The 16964-nt window shown below is 41.1% G+C and overlaps 1 protein-coding gene across 51 annotated transcripts in view, besides 1 other annotated feature; it reads left to right on the forward strand.

Annotated features, from left to right (window-relative positions):
* The window catches only part of NEK11 (NIMA related kinase 11), a 323589-nt gene that overhangs the window by 180911 nt on the left and 125714 nt on the right, over positions 1-16964 (forward strand). The window lies entirely within an intron of this gene.
* Positions 8960-9461: an enhancer, noted in NCBI's record as "NANOG hESC enhancer chr3:130935591-130936092 (GRCh37/hg19 assembly coordinates)". NCBI's record gives its function as "activates a minimal SCP1, AML or CMV promoter by ChIP-STARR-seq in primed H9 embryonic stem cells {active_cell/tissue: H9 hESC(primed)}" and the evidence as "EXISTENCE:reporter gene assay evidence [ECO:0000049][PMID:30033119]".

Below are 16964 nucleotides of genomic sequence, written 5' to 3' on the forward strand. Positions count from 1 at the left end.
CCTTTGCCCACATTTGATGGGGTTGTTTGATTTTTTCTTGTAAATTTGTTTAAGTTCTTTGTAGATTCTGTATATTAGCCCTTTGTCAGATGGGTAGATTGCAAAAATTTTCTCCCATTCTGTAGGTTGCCTGTTCACTCTGATCGTGGTTTCTTTTGCTGTGCAGAAGCTCTTTAGTTTAATTCGATCCCATTTGTCTATTTTGGCTTTTATTGCCATTGCTTTTGGTGTTTTAGTTATGAAGTCCTTGCCCATGCCTATGTCCTGAATGGTAATGCCTAGGTTTTCTTCTAGGGTTTTTATGGTTTTAGGTCTAACATTTAGGTCTTTAATCCATCTTGCATTAATTTTTGTACAAGGTGTAAGGAAGGGATCCAGTTTCAGCTTTCTACATATGGCTAGCCAGTTTTCCCAGCACCATTTATTAAATAGGGAATCCTTTCCCCATTTCTTGTTTTTGTCAGGTTTGTCAAAGATCAGATGATTGTAGATGTGTTATTATTTCTGAGGGCTCTGTTCTGTTCCAATGATCTATATCTCTGTTTTGGTGCCAGTACCATGCTGTTTTGGTTACTGTAGCCTTGTATTATAGTTTGAAATCTGGTAGCATGATGCCTCCAGCTTTGTTCTTTTGGCTTAGGATTGTCTTAGCAATGTGGGCTCTTTTTTGGTTCCATATGAACTTTAAAATAGTTTTTTCCAATTCTGTGAAGAAAGTCATTGGTAGCTTGATGGGGATGGCATTGAATCTATAAATTACCTTGGGCAGTATGGACATTTTCACGATATTGATTCTTCCTATCCATGAGCATGGAATGTTCTTCCATTTGTTTGTGTCCTCTTTTATTTCGTGGAGCAGTGGTTTGTAGTTCTCCATGAAGAGGTCCTACACATCCCTTGTAAGTTGGATTCCTAGGTATTTTATTCTCTTTGAAGCAATTGTGAATGGGAGTTCACTCATGATTTGGCTCTCTGTTTGTCTGTTATTGGTGTATAAGAATGCTTGTGATTTTTGCACATTGATTTTCTATCCTGAGACTTTGCTGAAGTTGCTTATCAGTTTAAGGAGATTTTGGGCTGAGACGATGGGGTTTTCTAAGTATACAATCATGTCGTCTGCAAACAGGGACAATTTGACTTCCTCTTTTCCTAATTGAATACCCTTTATTTCTTTCTGTTGCCTGATTGCCCTGGCCAGAACTTCCAACACTATGTTGAATAGGAGTGGTGAGAGAAGGCATCCCTGTCTTGTGCCAGTTTTCAAAGGGAATGCTTTCAGTTTTTGCCCATTCAGTATGATATTGGCTGTGGGTTTGTCATAAATAGCTCTTATTATTTTGAGCTACGTCCCATCAATACCTAGCTTATTGAGAGTTTTTAGCATGAAGGGCTGTTGAACTTTCTTGAAGGCTTTTTCTGCATCCGTTGATGCAGAAAAGAGATAATCATGTGGTTTTTGTCTTTGGTTCTGTTTATATGATGGATTATGTTTATTGATTTGCATATGTTGAACCAGCCTTGCATCCCAGGGATGAAGCCAACGTGACCGTGGTGGATAAGCTTTTTTGATGTGCTGCTGGATTTGGTTTGCCGGTATTTTATTGAGGATTTTTGTATTGATGTTCATCAGGAATATTGGTCTAAAATTCTCTTTTTTTGTTGTGTTTCTGCCAGACTTTGGTATCAGGATGATGTTGGCCTTGTAAAATGAGTTAGGGAGGATTCCCTCTTTTTCTATTGATCTATTGATTGGAATAGTTTCAGAAGGAATGGTACCAGCTCCTCTTTGTACCTCTGGTAGAATTTGGCTGTGAATCCATCTGGTCCTGGACTTTTTTGGTTGGTAGGCTATTAACTGTTGCCTCAATTTCAGGGTCTGTTATTGATCTATTCAGGGATTCAACTTCTTCCTGGTTTAGTCTTGGGAGGGTGTAAATGTACAGGAATTTATCTATTTCTTTTATATTCTCTAGTTTATTTGCATAGAGGTGTTTATAGTATCCTCTGATGGTAGTTTGTATTTCTGTGGGATTGGTGGTGATATCCCCTTTATCATTTTTTATTGTGTCTATTTGATTCTTCTCTCTTTTCTTCTTTGTTAGTCTTGCTAGCATCTATCTATTTTGTTGATCTCTTCAAAAAACCAGCTCTTGGATTCATTGATTTTTTGAAGGTTTTTTTGTGTCTCTAGCTCCTTCAGATCTGCTCTGATCTTAGTTATTTCTTGCCTTCTGCTAGCTTTTGAATGTATTTGCTCTTGTTTCTCTAGTTCTTTTAATTGTGATGTTAAGGTGTCAATTTTAGATCTTTCCTGCTTTCTCCTGTGGGCATTTAGTGCTTTAAATTTCCCTCTACACACTGCTTTAAATGTGTCCCAGAGATTCTGGTATGTTGTGTCTTTGTTCTCATTGGTTTCAAAGAACATCTTTATTTCTGCCTTCATTTTGTTATTTACCCAGGAGCAGGTTGTTCGGTTTCCATGTAGTTGTGTGGTTTTGAGTGAGTTTCTTAATCCTGAGTTCTAGTTTGATTGCACTGTGGTCTGAGAGACAGTTTGTTATAATTTCTGTTCTTTTACGTTTGCTGAGGAGTGCTTTACTTCCAACTATGTGGTCAATTTTGGAGTAAGTGCAACGTGGTGCTGAGAAGAATGTATATTCTGTTGATTTGGGGTGGAGAGTTCTGTAGATGTCTATTAGGTCTGCTTGGTGCAGAGCTGAGTTCAATTCCTGGATATCCTTGTTAACTTTCTGTCTCATTGTTCTGCCTAATGTTGACAGTGGGGTGTTAAAGTCTCCCATTATTATTGTGTGGGAGTCTAAGTCTCTTTGTAGGTCTCTAAGGACTTGCTTTATTAATCTGGGTTCTCCTGTATTGGGTGTATATATATTTAGGATAGTTAGCTCTTCTTATTGAATTGATCCATTTACCATTATGTAATGGCCTTCTTTGTCTCTTTTGATCTTTGTTGGTTTAAAGTCTGTTTTATCAGAAACTAAGATTGCAATCGCTGCTTTTTTTTGTTTTCCATTTGCTTAGTAGATCTTCCTCCATCCCTTTATTTTGAGCCTATGTGTGTCTCTGAATGTGAAATGGGTCCCCTGAATACAGCACACTGATGGGTCTTGACTCTTTATCCAATTTGCCAGTCTGTGTCTTTTAATTGGGGCATTTAGCCCATTTACATTTAAGATTAATATTGTTATGTGTGAATTTGATCCTGTCATTATGATGTTAGCTGGTTATTTTGCCCACTAGTTGATGCAGTTTCTTCCTAGCATTGATGGTCTTTACAATTTGGCATGTTTTTGCAGTGGATGGTACCAGTTTTCCTTTCCATGTTTAGTGCTTCCTTCAGGAGCTCTTGTAAGGCAGGCCTGGTAGTGACAAAATCTCTCAGCATTTGCTTGTCTGTAAAGTATTTTATTTCTCCTTCATTAGTGAAGCTTAGTTTGGCTGGATATGAAATTCTAGGTTGAACATTCTTTAAGAATGTTGAATATTGACCCCCACTCTCTTCTGGCTTGTAGAGTTTCTGCTGAGAGATCTGCTGTTAGTCTGATGGGCTTCCCTTTGTGGGTAACCCAACCTTTCTCTCTGGCTGCCCTTAACATTTTTTCCTTCATTTCAACTTTGGTGAATCTGACAATTATGTGTCTTGGGGTTGCTCTTCTTGAGGAGTATCTTTGTGGTGTTCTCTGTATTTCTTTAATTTGAATGTTGGCCTGCCTTGCTAGGTTGGGGAAGTTCTTCTGGATAATATCCTGCAGAGTGTTTTCCAACTTGGTTCCATTCTCCCCGTCACTTTCAGTTACACCAATCAAACATAGATTTGGTCTTTTCACATAGTCCCATGTTTCTTGGAGGCTTTGTTCATTTCTTTTTACTCTTCTTTCTCTAAACTTCTCTTCTTGCTTCATTTCACTCATTTAATCTTCAACCACTGATACCCTCTCTTCCACTTGATGGAATCGGCTACTGAAGCTTGTGCATGCGTCACGTAGTTCTTGTGCCATGGTTTTCATCTCCCTCAGGCCGTTTAATGTCTTCTCTACACTGTTTATTCTAGTTATCCATTCTTCTAATCTTTTTTCAAGGCTTTTAGCTTCCTGGGTTCGAACATCCTCCTTTAGCTTGGAGAAGTTTCTTATTACCGATCTTCTGAAGCCTACTTCTGTCAATTCGTCAAAGTCATTCTCCTTCCAGCTTTGTTCAGTTGCTGGCGAGGAGATGCGATCCTTTGGAGGAGAAGAGGCGCTCTGGTTTTTAGAATTATCAGACTTTCTTCTCTCGTTTCTCCCCATCTTTGTGGTTTTATCTACCTTTGATCTTTGATGATGGTGACCTACAGATGCGGTTTTGGTGTGCATGTCCTTTTTGTTGATGTTGATGCTATTTCTTTCTGTTTGTTAGTTTTCCTTCTAACAACCAGGACCCTCAGCTGCAGGTCTGTTGGAGTTTGCTGGAGGTCCACTCCAGACCCTGTTTCCCTGGGTATCACCAGCGGAGGCTGCAGAACAGCAAATATTGCAGAACAGCAAATATTGCTGCCTGATCCTTCCTCTGGAAGCTTCGTCTCAGAGGGGCACCCGGCTGTATGACGTGTCAGTCGGCCCCTGCTGGGATGTGTCTCCCAGTTAGGCTGCTCGGGGGTCAGGGACCCACTTGAGGAGGCAGTCTGTCCATTCTCAGATCTCAAACTCCGTGCTTGGAGAACCACTGCTGTCTTCAAAGCTCAGTTGGAAATGCAGAATCACCCATCTTCTGCATCACTCGCGCTGGGAGCTGTAGACTGGAACTGTTTCTATTAGGCCATCTTTGTTAAGAAACTGTTAATTACCCTTGCCAAAAAGTCAACATCTAAATGTCAAGATGTTTCTTAGTACTAGAAGAGGCCTGGAATTCTACTGTTAGGGACTTTTGCAGCCTGCATGGAAGATCTGAGTTCTGTTTGGCAACTTTATTCTCTGTCAGATTTCAAGTTGCAAAATAATTCTCCTGTTAGATCCTGTGATAGTTAATTTTATATGTCTATTTGGCTAGGCCATGGTAGTTTGGTCCATCACCAGTCTAGATGTTGCTGTGAAGGTGTTTTTAAGATGCAATTAATATTTTTATATCAGTAGACTTTGAGTAAAGCAGATTACTCTTGATAATGTCATAATGTGAGTGGGCCTCATCCAATCAGTTGAAAGCTTTAAGAGAAGAAGACTGATCTTCCCCAAAGAAGAAGGAATTCTGTCTCCAGGCTTCCTTTGGACTTAAGGTTGCAACATTAACTCTTTTCTGAGTGTCCAGCCTGTTGCCCTACCCTCATGGCCTACCTTGCAGATTTTGGACTTGCCAGCCCCCATAATTGCGTGAATGTGAACCAACTCCTTAAACCCCCCATGCCACCCATCTCCACACACACACACACACACACACATCCCATCTTGCTGTGTTAAGTTTGCCTCTTCACATTGGTGAGCCGAGAATGTCTTTAGGCCAGCAAGCATGTTCTAGCAGTTTCCTGACTGCCTCCAGATGGCCGGTTAACAGAAGGGTGCTGCCAATGGGAGACAAATGTTTTCCAGGAGACCAGAGGTGGAAAAGAGAAATTATGATGTTAGGATTTTATTGAAGAGAAACTCTCATTTGGCTTACAAGGTGTTCTGTCTGCCAGCAATTATACAAGTTGCTAAGTGCATTCCAATGTACATGACAGAAACTTTGTTAATGAGAAAATACAACGAGAAAAAAGTAAAAGAGAGGAGGGAGAGGCCGCCTATGGTAGTAATTTAAATCCTTCAGCTGTGGTGGTCTTAGTTAGAATCTTACTTTTTGGCAAATATTTGGTGGCCAGGAACAGAAATCAGTGGTCTATTCTTTTACTACTCTAAGTGTGGTTTGTGGACTAGCAGCATCTCCATCACCTCGAAGCATGTCAGAAATGCAGAATCTCAGGCCCTACTCCAGTCCTGCCAATCTGAACCCAGAGTTCATCAAGTTCCCCAGATGATTCATGTGCACACTGGTTGTAATGCAGTACATGTTTTTGTCCCCCCAGATTCATCATATTGAAACCCTAATCCCCAGTGGGATGATATTTCGAGATGAGGCCTTTAGGAGGTGATTTGGTCATGAGGGTAGAGCCCACAGGATGGGATTAGTTCCGTTGTAAGTAGAGACATGAGAAAGCTGGCTTCCTGTCTCTATGTTTCCATGCTCCTCCACCATATGAGGATACAAGAAGAGGACAGCAGTCTGCAAATCAGGAAGGGAGCCTTCAACCAGACACTGAATCTGCCAGCACCTTGACCTTAGACTTCCCAGCCTTCAAAACTGTGAGAAATAAATTTCTGTTGTTTAAGCCACCTAGTCTATAGTATTCTGTTACAGAAGCCCAAACTAACTAAGATATTGGTCTAGTTTATTACTCCTTGTCGTAAATTTGTAAGTCTTAATGCAGAAAAGTAACCTGAAATCATTCAGTTCAGGCTCTGGTTTTAAGGTTGGTGAGTTATCACCATCCCATTCTACACGTAAGACACCTAAGGCCTGGGAGCTTAAACCAGTTGCCTAAAGTCATAGAACGAGTTGTCTTCTGCCTCCAAACACAGCACATCCCACTATGTACCAAATTTTTCAGAGTCTCTGTGAAGTCTTTCTACATTTCTCCTTGACAGAATGAATTTCCTGGCCTGAATTCATTTCTCTGAATTTGGGGGAGAAAAGACAAATGTTACCTTGTCATTTTCGCTTTTACTCTCTAAAGCAGGAAAGAAAAGTTTCAGGGAAACATTACAGTTTTTCCTGAGGGAAAATCATCTTGACATATAGGATAAAAGTGCAGACTCTAGAGCTTGAGGGAGACCTATTTCCAAAAGGATCATGGAGCTTATTTCTGTCACGTGAATGTGCGTGCATGTGTGTGTGTGTGTGTGTGTGTGTGTGTAGCAGGGAGTGGAGAGCTTTTAGTACACTCAGTCAAATATAGAGATGTCACTTAGAGAGGCACTTACAGCAGAACCTGCTGTCCTATATATAAAAAACAGTACTGTACTGTACTTAATTTAGCCCTCCAGAAAGGGTCATGAATATGCATTTTGTCTAAGAAAATTATTTCTTTTCACAACCTCATGTGTGATGCTGTAGGCTAAGCTAATCAATGTAGTTAAATTTAGCCCTGGTTTTGAAAGTTTGTTTTAGAAAAGGTCACGGTACTAACCCTGTAGTTTATTGTGTGAGGAAAGAAAGCATCATGGCAAACCAAGCAACTGATGTGCACCCCCATCCTAAGAATATAAACATATTGTTTGTATTTGAGGTTCAGTTCCACTTGCAGTTAGTGATATTATTCTCAAAGTTGACTTGATTCCTGCTGTGCTGTGAAATATACAAGGACAAAAAACCAAACACCGCATGTTCTCACTCATAGGTGGGAATTGAACAATGAGAACACTTGGTCACAGGAAGGGGAACATCACACACCGGGGCCTGTTGTGGGGCGGGGGGAGGGGGAAGGGATAGCATTAGGAGATATACCTAATGTAAATGACGAGTTAATGGGTGCAGCACACCAACATGGCACACGTATACATATGTAACAGACCTGCACGTTGTGCACATGTACCCTAGAACTTAAAGTATAACAAAAAAATATATAAAAAAAAAAGAAAAGAAAGATATTGTCTACCATGGGGGTGTGGGAGGTCTGTGAGCTTGCCTTTCTCTGGGCAAGGGGGTTGCCCAGAAGGCTGGGGTTGGGCATTTATTCAACCTGTGCATGTAGATATGGTGTAAAAGAAGGCAGAAAAGGGCATCTTACAGATGAGAAGATTTGATTGGATACATCCTTTGATATGGCACTCAGTTACATGAAGAGGCTTAGGGCTGGGGTGCGATGGAGACACTACCTCTCCCCTGCTACATCCACAACTGTGAGAGCTGGAGCACTTTCAAGGGCCAGGAGATTCTGCCTTCTCTTTGCAGAGGTGGGGATTGGTGATGGTAGATGGTGTGCTGGCCAGGAGAGGAACTGAGGATCAGAGAGGTAAAGTGACTCACATCCCAGAGCTTCAAAGAAATCTGGCCAAACTGAAAGCGGAGGCTGTGCCCCTCTATTTAGAGAGGTGACAGCCTAGAACAGTGCTGTCCAGTAGAATTTTCTGCAGTGTTGGAAATATTCTATAATTTTGTCACAGGTGACTATTGAGCACTTGAAAAGTAGCTAGTGCAACTGAATTTGTCATTTTATTTAATTTTAATAATTTTAATTCAAATAGCCACAAGTGGCTAGTGTCTACCATATTAGGTCAATTCTAAAAGAAGTGGTACTTTAAAGAGATGAAGTGGGAAAGCAAGAGTGAATTCAGGGAAAAATACAGAGTTCAGGTTATGAAAGCCAGGATTCTGAAGGTACATATGAGAACTATCTGGAAAGCATCAGAAAAATAAAGCTTCCTAGACCCAGACCAGGACAGCCCAATCAGAGTCTTTTGGTACATAACCTTTAAATGAGATCTACCATATTCATTGGTAAGAAGAGGCAGATCTGGGAATGTGGGTTGCAAATGATAAAAGGTCTTGCCTGCCAAACTTAAGATTTTATACTCAATTTTATTGGCAGCGAGGGCCTCATTGAAAGGGGAGAGTCACATGGTGAGTGCATTAGGCAAGGCTTGCAGCAGCCTGTGTAAGACATGATGCCAATGGAAGATAGGAGATGATTGCAGAGCTGAGTGTTAAAAGATACCTGGAGTATTCATTTCTCCCTCAGAATATGAGTGTGTTTATTTCACTGGGGGCTGTCCATATTCTTCTCTGGCTTGAACATTGGTTCAAAACATTTCTGCAGCAGCCTGTGTAAGACATGATGCCAATGGAAGATAGGAGATGATTGCAGACCTGAGTGTTAAAAGATACCTGGACTGTTCATTTCTCCCTCAGAATATGAGTGTGTTTATTTCACTGGGGGCTGTCCATATTCTTCTCTGGCTTGAACATTGGTTTGAAACATTTCTTAGCAAATATGCTGCTGCATGCCTCCAGTCCCACTAAATGTTACGGTGATTGAAAATTACAGTTGCTTCCCTTGGGCGCAGAGGGGGCTCTTTGTAATGAAATAGAGATGCAGCAGCCATTTGGCATGTGGAGTAACAGCTTCTCTGGGACCTCCAGCAGGGGCCCATGGTATCATAAAAGGGGATGAGTCACCAGGGAAAGGAACAATTGTGGGTCTCAGAGTGTGCCCTTCCCTCTCTATGACTTCTGAGCTCCAATGAGCAATCTTAACTGCTGTCACCGGGAACTAGGACACCGTGAACACAGTGTTCGAGGCCCAGCCGATGACTCACTGCATAACTCTGATAAACTATTTCATGGTTCACAGTGGGGAGAGAGATTGCTTTTAAAAATTGAAAAGGAAAAAATAAAATACAATATATGTTGAATTGAAGTTTTGAGATGGATAAAATGCCTTTTCCCAAACAGCAAAGTATCAGAAGAGTCAGTTTTTTTTCTTTAATAGTGCCGGGGAAGGCATGGGGGAGGGAGAGACTGGGTATCCTTATAAGCTGCTGGGAGAATGGAAAGCTGGGGTTTTAGGAGTGGTTTTTATCTTGTTGGGAGAGTTCAGCTGTCATCCTGAAGGACAGGTGACCTCTGCCTGGGAAGTGTTTTCCTCTAGCTATGCTGTTGGCCCTTTATGTGTACAGTTACACATCACTTAAAAACGGGGATGCGTTCAAAGAAATGTGTCCTTAGGCAATTTTGTCATTGAGCAAACATCATAGAGTGTACTCCCACAAACCTAGATGGTACATTTATGCTAAGTTTCGGGTGAATTTGGCGTCTTACAGAGCACATGATCGGCCACCATCTCACTCTGGCCCCTCCCACTCTCTTTCCCTCCACCTTTCTGGAACAGGGCCAAAGCCCTCCTCTTGTTCCCTGGCAGAAGGGATCATATCATTTTCTTTCCCTGCACTTTTATTAGGTATTTTTCTAAATACAATTTCTTAAAAAAAATTCTCACAACAACAATTATAAAAGCGAATCTTTCTACCTACTAAATTAATAAGTGCCATTTTATGGAGCATCTACCATGTTCTGGACATTATGCAAGATGAAGCATTTTAAGAAGACTTTGAAGAGGGCCAGGAGACTAAACCTCCAGAGAGAAAAAAATTTAGTCATCTGAGATGTAATTGATATCTGACAAAGGACTCACTTTAGCAGTGCCACAGATGTGGGCTCTATTATTTTCTTGAAGGTCTGAGGATTAAAGTTATAATATTAAAGAATGTGACTTTGCTGGCACCTGACTATTTTTCTTTAAGAGATGTTTATCTCTTATCCTTTATATTTTGTTTTGTAACCATGAGTCAAGATATTTTTATTATAATGTCCAAGTCTTTAGATGGGTTCCTTAGAAGCACAGCCTGAGATGGGTATCTGGTGCATGTATCTTATTGTGGAGAGCTCTAAGGATGTGGGTGTGTGTATATAGAGTTTGGTGTGGGGTTGGGGGCTGTGTCCAGATAAAAGGAGCTGAGCAAGGATGTGGTCTCAGCTGGAGACTAGCCTCAGTCTGCTCACACAGGGAGCTCTGGGGCATGAGTAACACCACAAAGATGGTTTTACCTTAAGTCACTCAGTCATTGGCCAGGACTGCCCCTGGGGCAGAGATGTGGCATCATCTTTTCAGTAAGGAGGGCTTCTTTGATCCAAGAACAATTCTGTGGAGAATAGAGTATCTGTGTGCTGTCAGCAACTGTTATAGGCTTCACTGAGTCCCCGCTAAAAGCCATATGTTGGAGCCCTAACCCCCAGTACTTCAGAATGTGACTGTATTTGAAGACATGGCTTTTAGAGAGGTGGTTAAATTAAAATGAGGCTGATAGGGTGGGCTCTAAGCCAATCTGACTGTGTCCTCATAAGAAGAGGAGATTAGGCTTTTCAATGATCGCCATTCTAACTGGCATGAGACGGTATCTCATTGTGGTTTTGATTTGCGTTTCTCTAATGACCAGTGATGATGAGCTTTTTTTCATATGTTTGTTGGTCACATAAATGTCTTCTTTTGAGAAGAGTCTGTTCATATCCTTTGCCCACTTTTTGATAGGGTTGCTGGAGAGGATGTGGAGAAATAGGAATGCTTTTACACTGTTGGTGGGAGTGTAAATTAGTTCAACCATTGTGGAAGACAGTGTGGTGATTCCTCAAGGATCTAGAACCAGAAATACCATTTGACCCAGCAATCCCATTACTGGGTATATACCCAAAGGATTATAAATCATTCTACTGTAAAGACACATGCACATGTATGTTTATTGCAGCACTATTCACAATAGCAAAGACCTGGAAACAACCCAAATGCCCAAAAATGATAGACTGGATAAAGAAAATGTGGCACATATATAACATGGAATACTATGCAGCCATAAAAAAGGATGAGTTCACATCCTTTGCAGGGACATGGATGAAGCTAGAAACCATCATTCTCAGCAAACTAACACAAGAACAGAAAACCAAACACTGCATGTTCTCACTCATAAGTGGGAGTTGAACAATGAGAACACATGGACACAGGGAGGGGAACATCACACACTGGGGTCTGTCAGGGGGTGGGGGACTAGGGGAGGGACAGCATTAGGAGAAATACCTAATGTGGATGATGGGTTGATGGGTGCAGCAAACCTGGGTGTAGCAAACCATCAGGACGCGTGTGTATCCATGGAACAAACCTGCATGTTCTGCACATGTATCCCCAAACTTAAAGTATACAAAAAAAAAAAAGAGGAATAAGAGATTAGGACACAGGGACACCAGGGTATGCATGCACAGAGGATGACCTTGTGAAGAAGCAGCAAGAGGGAAGCCAAGGAGAAAGGCCTCAGAGGAATCCAACCCTGCTGGCCCCTTAATCTCCAACCTCCAGAACTCTGGGAAATAAATTTCTATTGTTTAAATCACCCAATCTGTGGTATCTTCTCATTACAGCTCTGGCTGACTTAATACAGCAGCCAACATGCACAGCAGCTAGCAGACGAGGGTGTGCCAATTATACTTTGGAGTGTGTCTGGGAAGAGAATTTGTGTGGGGCATTGATAGTAGCCACTACACCCACTTACAAATGAGAACACCGTGACCCAGAGAAGTGAAGTAGCCCACCTGAGGTCACACAGCCAATAAGCAACGGAGGCAGAATTTGATTGCCATCTGACCCTACAGGTGGTCCTCCTAGTCACTACTTTGTATCATCACTTCTGTTGCAAGGCAGTTTTTCTCAGAAGCAGCAGATGTCACCAGTTAACTTTGACTTCAATTTCTTTTTGGTTTTTTGTTTGTTTTGTTTTGTTTTGTTTTCATCTAAATTGTGCTTACCTTATACAAAATGGAGCTTCTGGGGGAAATTGAGGCAACTCAGCACAATGCCTATGTCTGTGTGTCTTCTCAAAGTATTGACTTTTACCTTATGTAAAAGGTAAAAAAAAATCTTATGGTTTTGGGGACGTTGTAGCATATTAATCATAGGTTTCCTATACATATGAGAAAATAATATTTTTATTTTTAATGTTTTTATTAAAAATGAATTTGAGCAGTTTTTCACACCCACAAATGTTATTTTTGGGAAATTAAGAAATGCTTTGATGGCTGTCATGTTAATACAAATAATAACTGTAATCATTCTAAGCACTGCCACTCCCAATTTGTAATGAATGAACATGGTCTTCATAGAGGCCACATTGAGATACAAGAATAAATCAGTTTGTTCTTATTAGAGCCTTATAATAGCCTTGTTCAGTATTTTCTGGCTTGGTGTAATAAAGCCATTACCCTCTTCAGAAAACTAGAAAAGAAAGGACAAATAGAGATGGACATCTTTTGGTAGCTGCCTTCTGCTGAGGGCTCCCACCACCCACCCTCTGTCTGCCCCATGACAGCCAGCTCCGCAAACTTTAATGCTGAACTATGATTAGATATGCAGAGAGAGGCAGGGTGTCCGGGGCAGACTCTAGGGCACCTGGAGAAAGCTCCAGCCTAACAGCATTTGCTGTCACACTCTGGGTCCTCTTGACTGAGTTCTGGGACTTGACTGAGTGGGCCTGCAGGATGTAACTGGAAGTTTTAGTACGATGAAGACATTTTTTGCAGTTCGAAGGTATGACTACATCTGAGATATAAGTTCAAAGTATGTGAAAAAGAGGAAAGGGGTGGGGGAGTCTTAGGAAAAACATCTGTATCTCCTTCCTCTCCTCAGCTTCCCCTCTCCACGTTACTCTCCCAAAGGATTAGTTAATTCTTTGTATATGATATTATGTGGCAATTTGAAAGTCCTTATCTCTTAGAGATTTATGTACTCATTTATTCAGCAAGAAGTTTTGGGTGTCTGCTTTGAATCATGTGTTGGGGATACCATGGTAAGCAGGATGGGTGTGGCCTCTGCCCTCCTGGAGCTTACCATCTACCTGGAATATTAGAAGGGATTTTTATTTCAGCAGACATAAAGTGCCAGTCATTGTGCTGAATTAGTGGTTCTCAAACTTAAGGGTGCATCAGGATCACCTGGAGAGCTTGTCAAACCACACATTGCTGGACCTTCATCCCAGTTTCTGATTCAGTAGGTTGGAGGTATAGGCAAATTTGGAAATTTTTATTTTTAATAAGAGCCCAGGTGATGTTGTTCTTGCTATTCTGGGGACCACCCTTTAAGAACCATTCTGGGAAGCCTGTCACATGGATTTGCTTAAGGCATTCTAATGGTTAAAACCATCTGGGATGGTGGTGGGCCCACAGGCTGAGATCTTCTAAATGTCTAAAAGGAACTAAGTTCCTTTAGAGGAAACTTGGTTTTCTCTTCAGGCAAAGTTCCTGTTTTATGAAAACACTCTTTTTTAAAAAAATTGTTAATGTATATCTGGATCGTTTTAGCAGTTTAAAGAGCTAATGCAGTAGATGAAGTGACAGGGAGTTTTTCATTTAACAGTTGCATCTGTATGTCATTTTCTCCTCGAAGGTTCTATAAGATAGAGCAATAGTTCTCAAAGTGTGTTTCCAGACGAGTGGCATAGTTAGAAATGCAGAATCTCAAGCCCCATTCCAGACCTACTGAATCAGAAACACTGGGTGTGGGAGCAAGAATCTGTTTTAACAAGGCTTCCAGCTGATTCTGAGGCACACTCAAGTTTGACACATCTGAGATAGATGGTAGTGAGAACTAGGCTCAGGCTGAATCTGATTCTCCCAGCTCCCTTAAGACGGTTTACCAGGATGACTAAGCTTCAGTTTTTCTATCTCGTAAGTCAAAAGTCTATCCCTTGTTGTCTAATATCTTTCAGAGCTACAAGAAAGATAATCATGACCTTTCTGAAATGGTTTTACTAGCAAAGATGAAAATTTCTAACTAACCATAAATAGACTTATTCAGTGAAAGAAAGGGGATTCAGATGCAGCAGTGTGACCTTCGGTTGGTCATTAGCTTGTCTGAACCTTACTTTTCCTATCTGAAAAGTGGGCAGAAAAATGTCATTCTAGTCTACATTGAAGAGTTGTTGCAAAGATCAAATGGTATCTTTGTGCTATTAAATGGTATCAAATTTTTGTGGTATCAAATGTATATCAGCATGCTTTTTAAACTGTAAAATGCACACAAATATAAAGATTATAACTTTGGGCTGCTCACCCTTAGCTTTGTTCTTTTCTATCAACAAAATGGGAGTAGTTGAATTACTTATACCTCTATGGAGATTTTAAGTAATTTAGACAACTAATAGCACAGTAACTCGAGCTCTTCTAAGGTAAAGTTTTTCTTACGTTTATGTTTTGTCTTTAACATACAAAGGTTGAAATATGTAGAAATAGTATAAAATCTTTTAGATTTTATTATAGTGTATACTCTTATTTGAACTAGTCACATTCTAGAGCAGTGATTCTGAGAGGGCAGCCTCCAAACCAGCAGCATCAGCATCAGCTGGGAACTTGTGAGTAATGCAGATTCTCAGGTACCACACCAGACCTGCTGAATCAGCAAGTCTTGGGGTGGGACCCAGAGATCCGTTTTAACAAGCCCACAGGTGATCCTGATGCTCACACAAGTCTTAGAGAAAGGCATTTATTTGGGTCTTAATTGAAGGATCTGATAAAGGCCATCATTTTCCTGGAACAGGGTGATGTCTTCGTTTTTCCAGCATGGATTTGAAACATCTGTGTCCAAACTCGTGCAGCCATTATTGGATTCCTTCATAAACACATTCTGTTACTGCTTGCCTGGCATACAGAAGATCTGGAATGCCACTCCAGTATACCCATTATGAGGCTGACTTCAGGGTGCAAGGAAATTAAAGCTGTTTATCAGACTCTTTTCCCCTTAGTGACAGGAGAAAGGAATCTTAAGCTAAGAAGGCTTCAAGTTGGGTCTATGTATGAAAAACATGAGGCGTGACAAACACAGTTTGAACGGACTTACGTTTTTTTTGACTTTTCCCTTTGAAAATGAAAATGAGTCCTTTTGTGGGCAGCACCAAATTAGTGGTGCTTACTTAAGAAATACTGGAGACAGATTCATTCCAGTTTGTTTCATAACTTAGGTGGCAGAATGGCACTTTTCCCTGGCCACTTCTTTCCTTCTTCCCCTTCTAGGAGGAAATCTTAGGTAGGAGAGGGAAAGGGACTAAGGCTGTCTGTACACAATGAGCTACGTTTTGGGAAGAGGAGCTTAGTGTTTTAACAAAAGAAAGGTTTGTCTGTGTTGTAGAGATATGACTTGGTCCACTGCCTATGTTTGTAAATAAAGTTTTATTGGGACATAGCCACACTCATTTATTTATGTATTGTCTGTTTTCACACTACAAAGGCAGAGTTGGGTAGTTGTGACAGAGACCACGTAATCTGCAAAGCCTAAAATTGTTTTACTATCTAGCCCTTTACAGAACATATTTGTCAACCCCCCTTGCAGAGGTTTCTTCTGAGCTGCTTGAAGGAAACCTTGACGGAATCAGTGGACAGGAAGGACAGTGGGAGGTGAACAGTGTGGTGAAATGCCTGCGGGTTCCTGTGGAGTCCACAGAAAGGAAACCACAGAGAGGCGAGATTCCATATTGCCCATTTCAGTTGGGTTCAGTATGGATTTTGAGAAATTATTCTATTTAAAATAAATAAATATTTTAAACTTGAGTATATATTTGCAATTGTCTAATACAGTCATACACTGCATAACAATCTTTTGGTCAATGACAGACTGCATGTACAATGGTGGTCCAGTTAATGAAGCTGAAAAATTCCCAACACCTAGTGCTATCATAGCCATCATAACATTGCAGAGCAACATAGCCACTCACATACTTGTGGTGATGCTGGGTAAATAAACCTACTACACTGCCAGTCATATAAAAGTGTAATGCATATATTTATGTACAGTATAGTGATGACAAATGACTGTTACTGCTTTATGTATTTACTATACTTTTTTTTTTTGAGGTGTGGTCTCACTCTGTTACCCAGTCTGGAGTGCAGTGGCACGATCTCGGCTCACTGCATCCTCCACCTTCCAGGCTCAAGTGATCCTCCCACTTCAGCCTCCCAGTTAGCCGGGACCACAGGTGTGCGCCACCACACCCAGCTAATTTTTTGTATTTTTGGTAAAGATTGGGTTTCTCCATGTTGCCCAGGCTGTTCTCGAACTCCTGACCTCTGGTGATCTGCCTGCCTCGGCCTGCCAAAGTGCTGGGATTATAGGAGTGAGCCACCATGCCTGGCTTGCTATACTTTTTATCATTTTTCTAAAGTGTACTCCTTCTACTTATTAAAAAAAATTAACTGTAAAACAGCCTTGGGCAGGTCCTTCGGGAGGTATTTCAGAAGAAGGCACTGTTATCACAGTAGATGGAGGCTCCGTGTGTGTTACTGCCCCTAGAGACCTTGTAGTGGGACAAGATGTGGAGGTGGAAGACAGTGGTATCAGTGATCCTGACGCTGTGTAG

Source organism: Homo sapiens, chromosome 3 (genome assembly GCF_000001405.40).
Source record: "Homo sapiens chromosome 3, GRCh38.p14 Primary Assembly".
Lineage (NCBI taxonomy): Eukaryota > Metazoa > Chordata > Mammalia > Primates > Hominidae > Homo > Homo sapiens.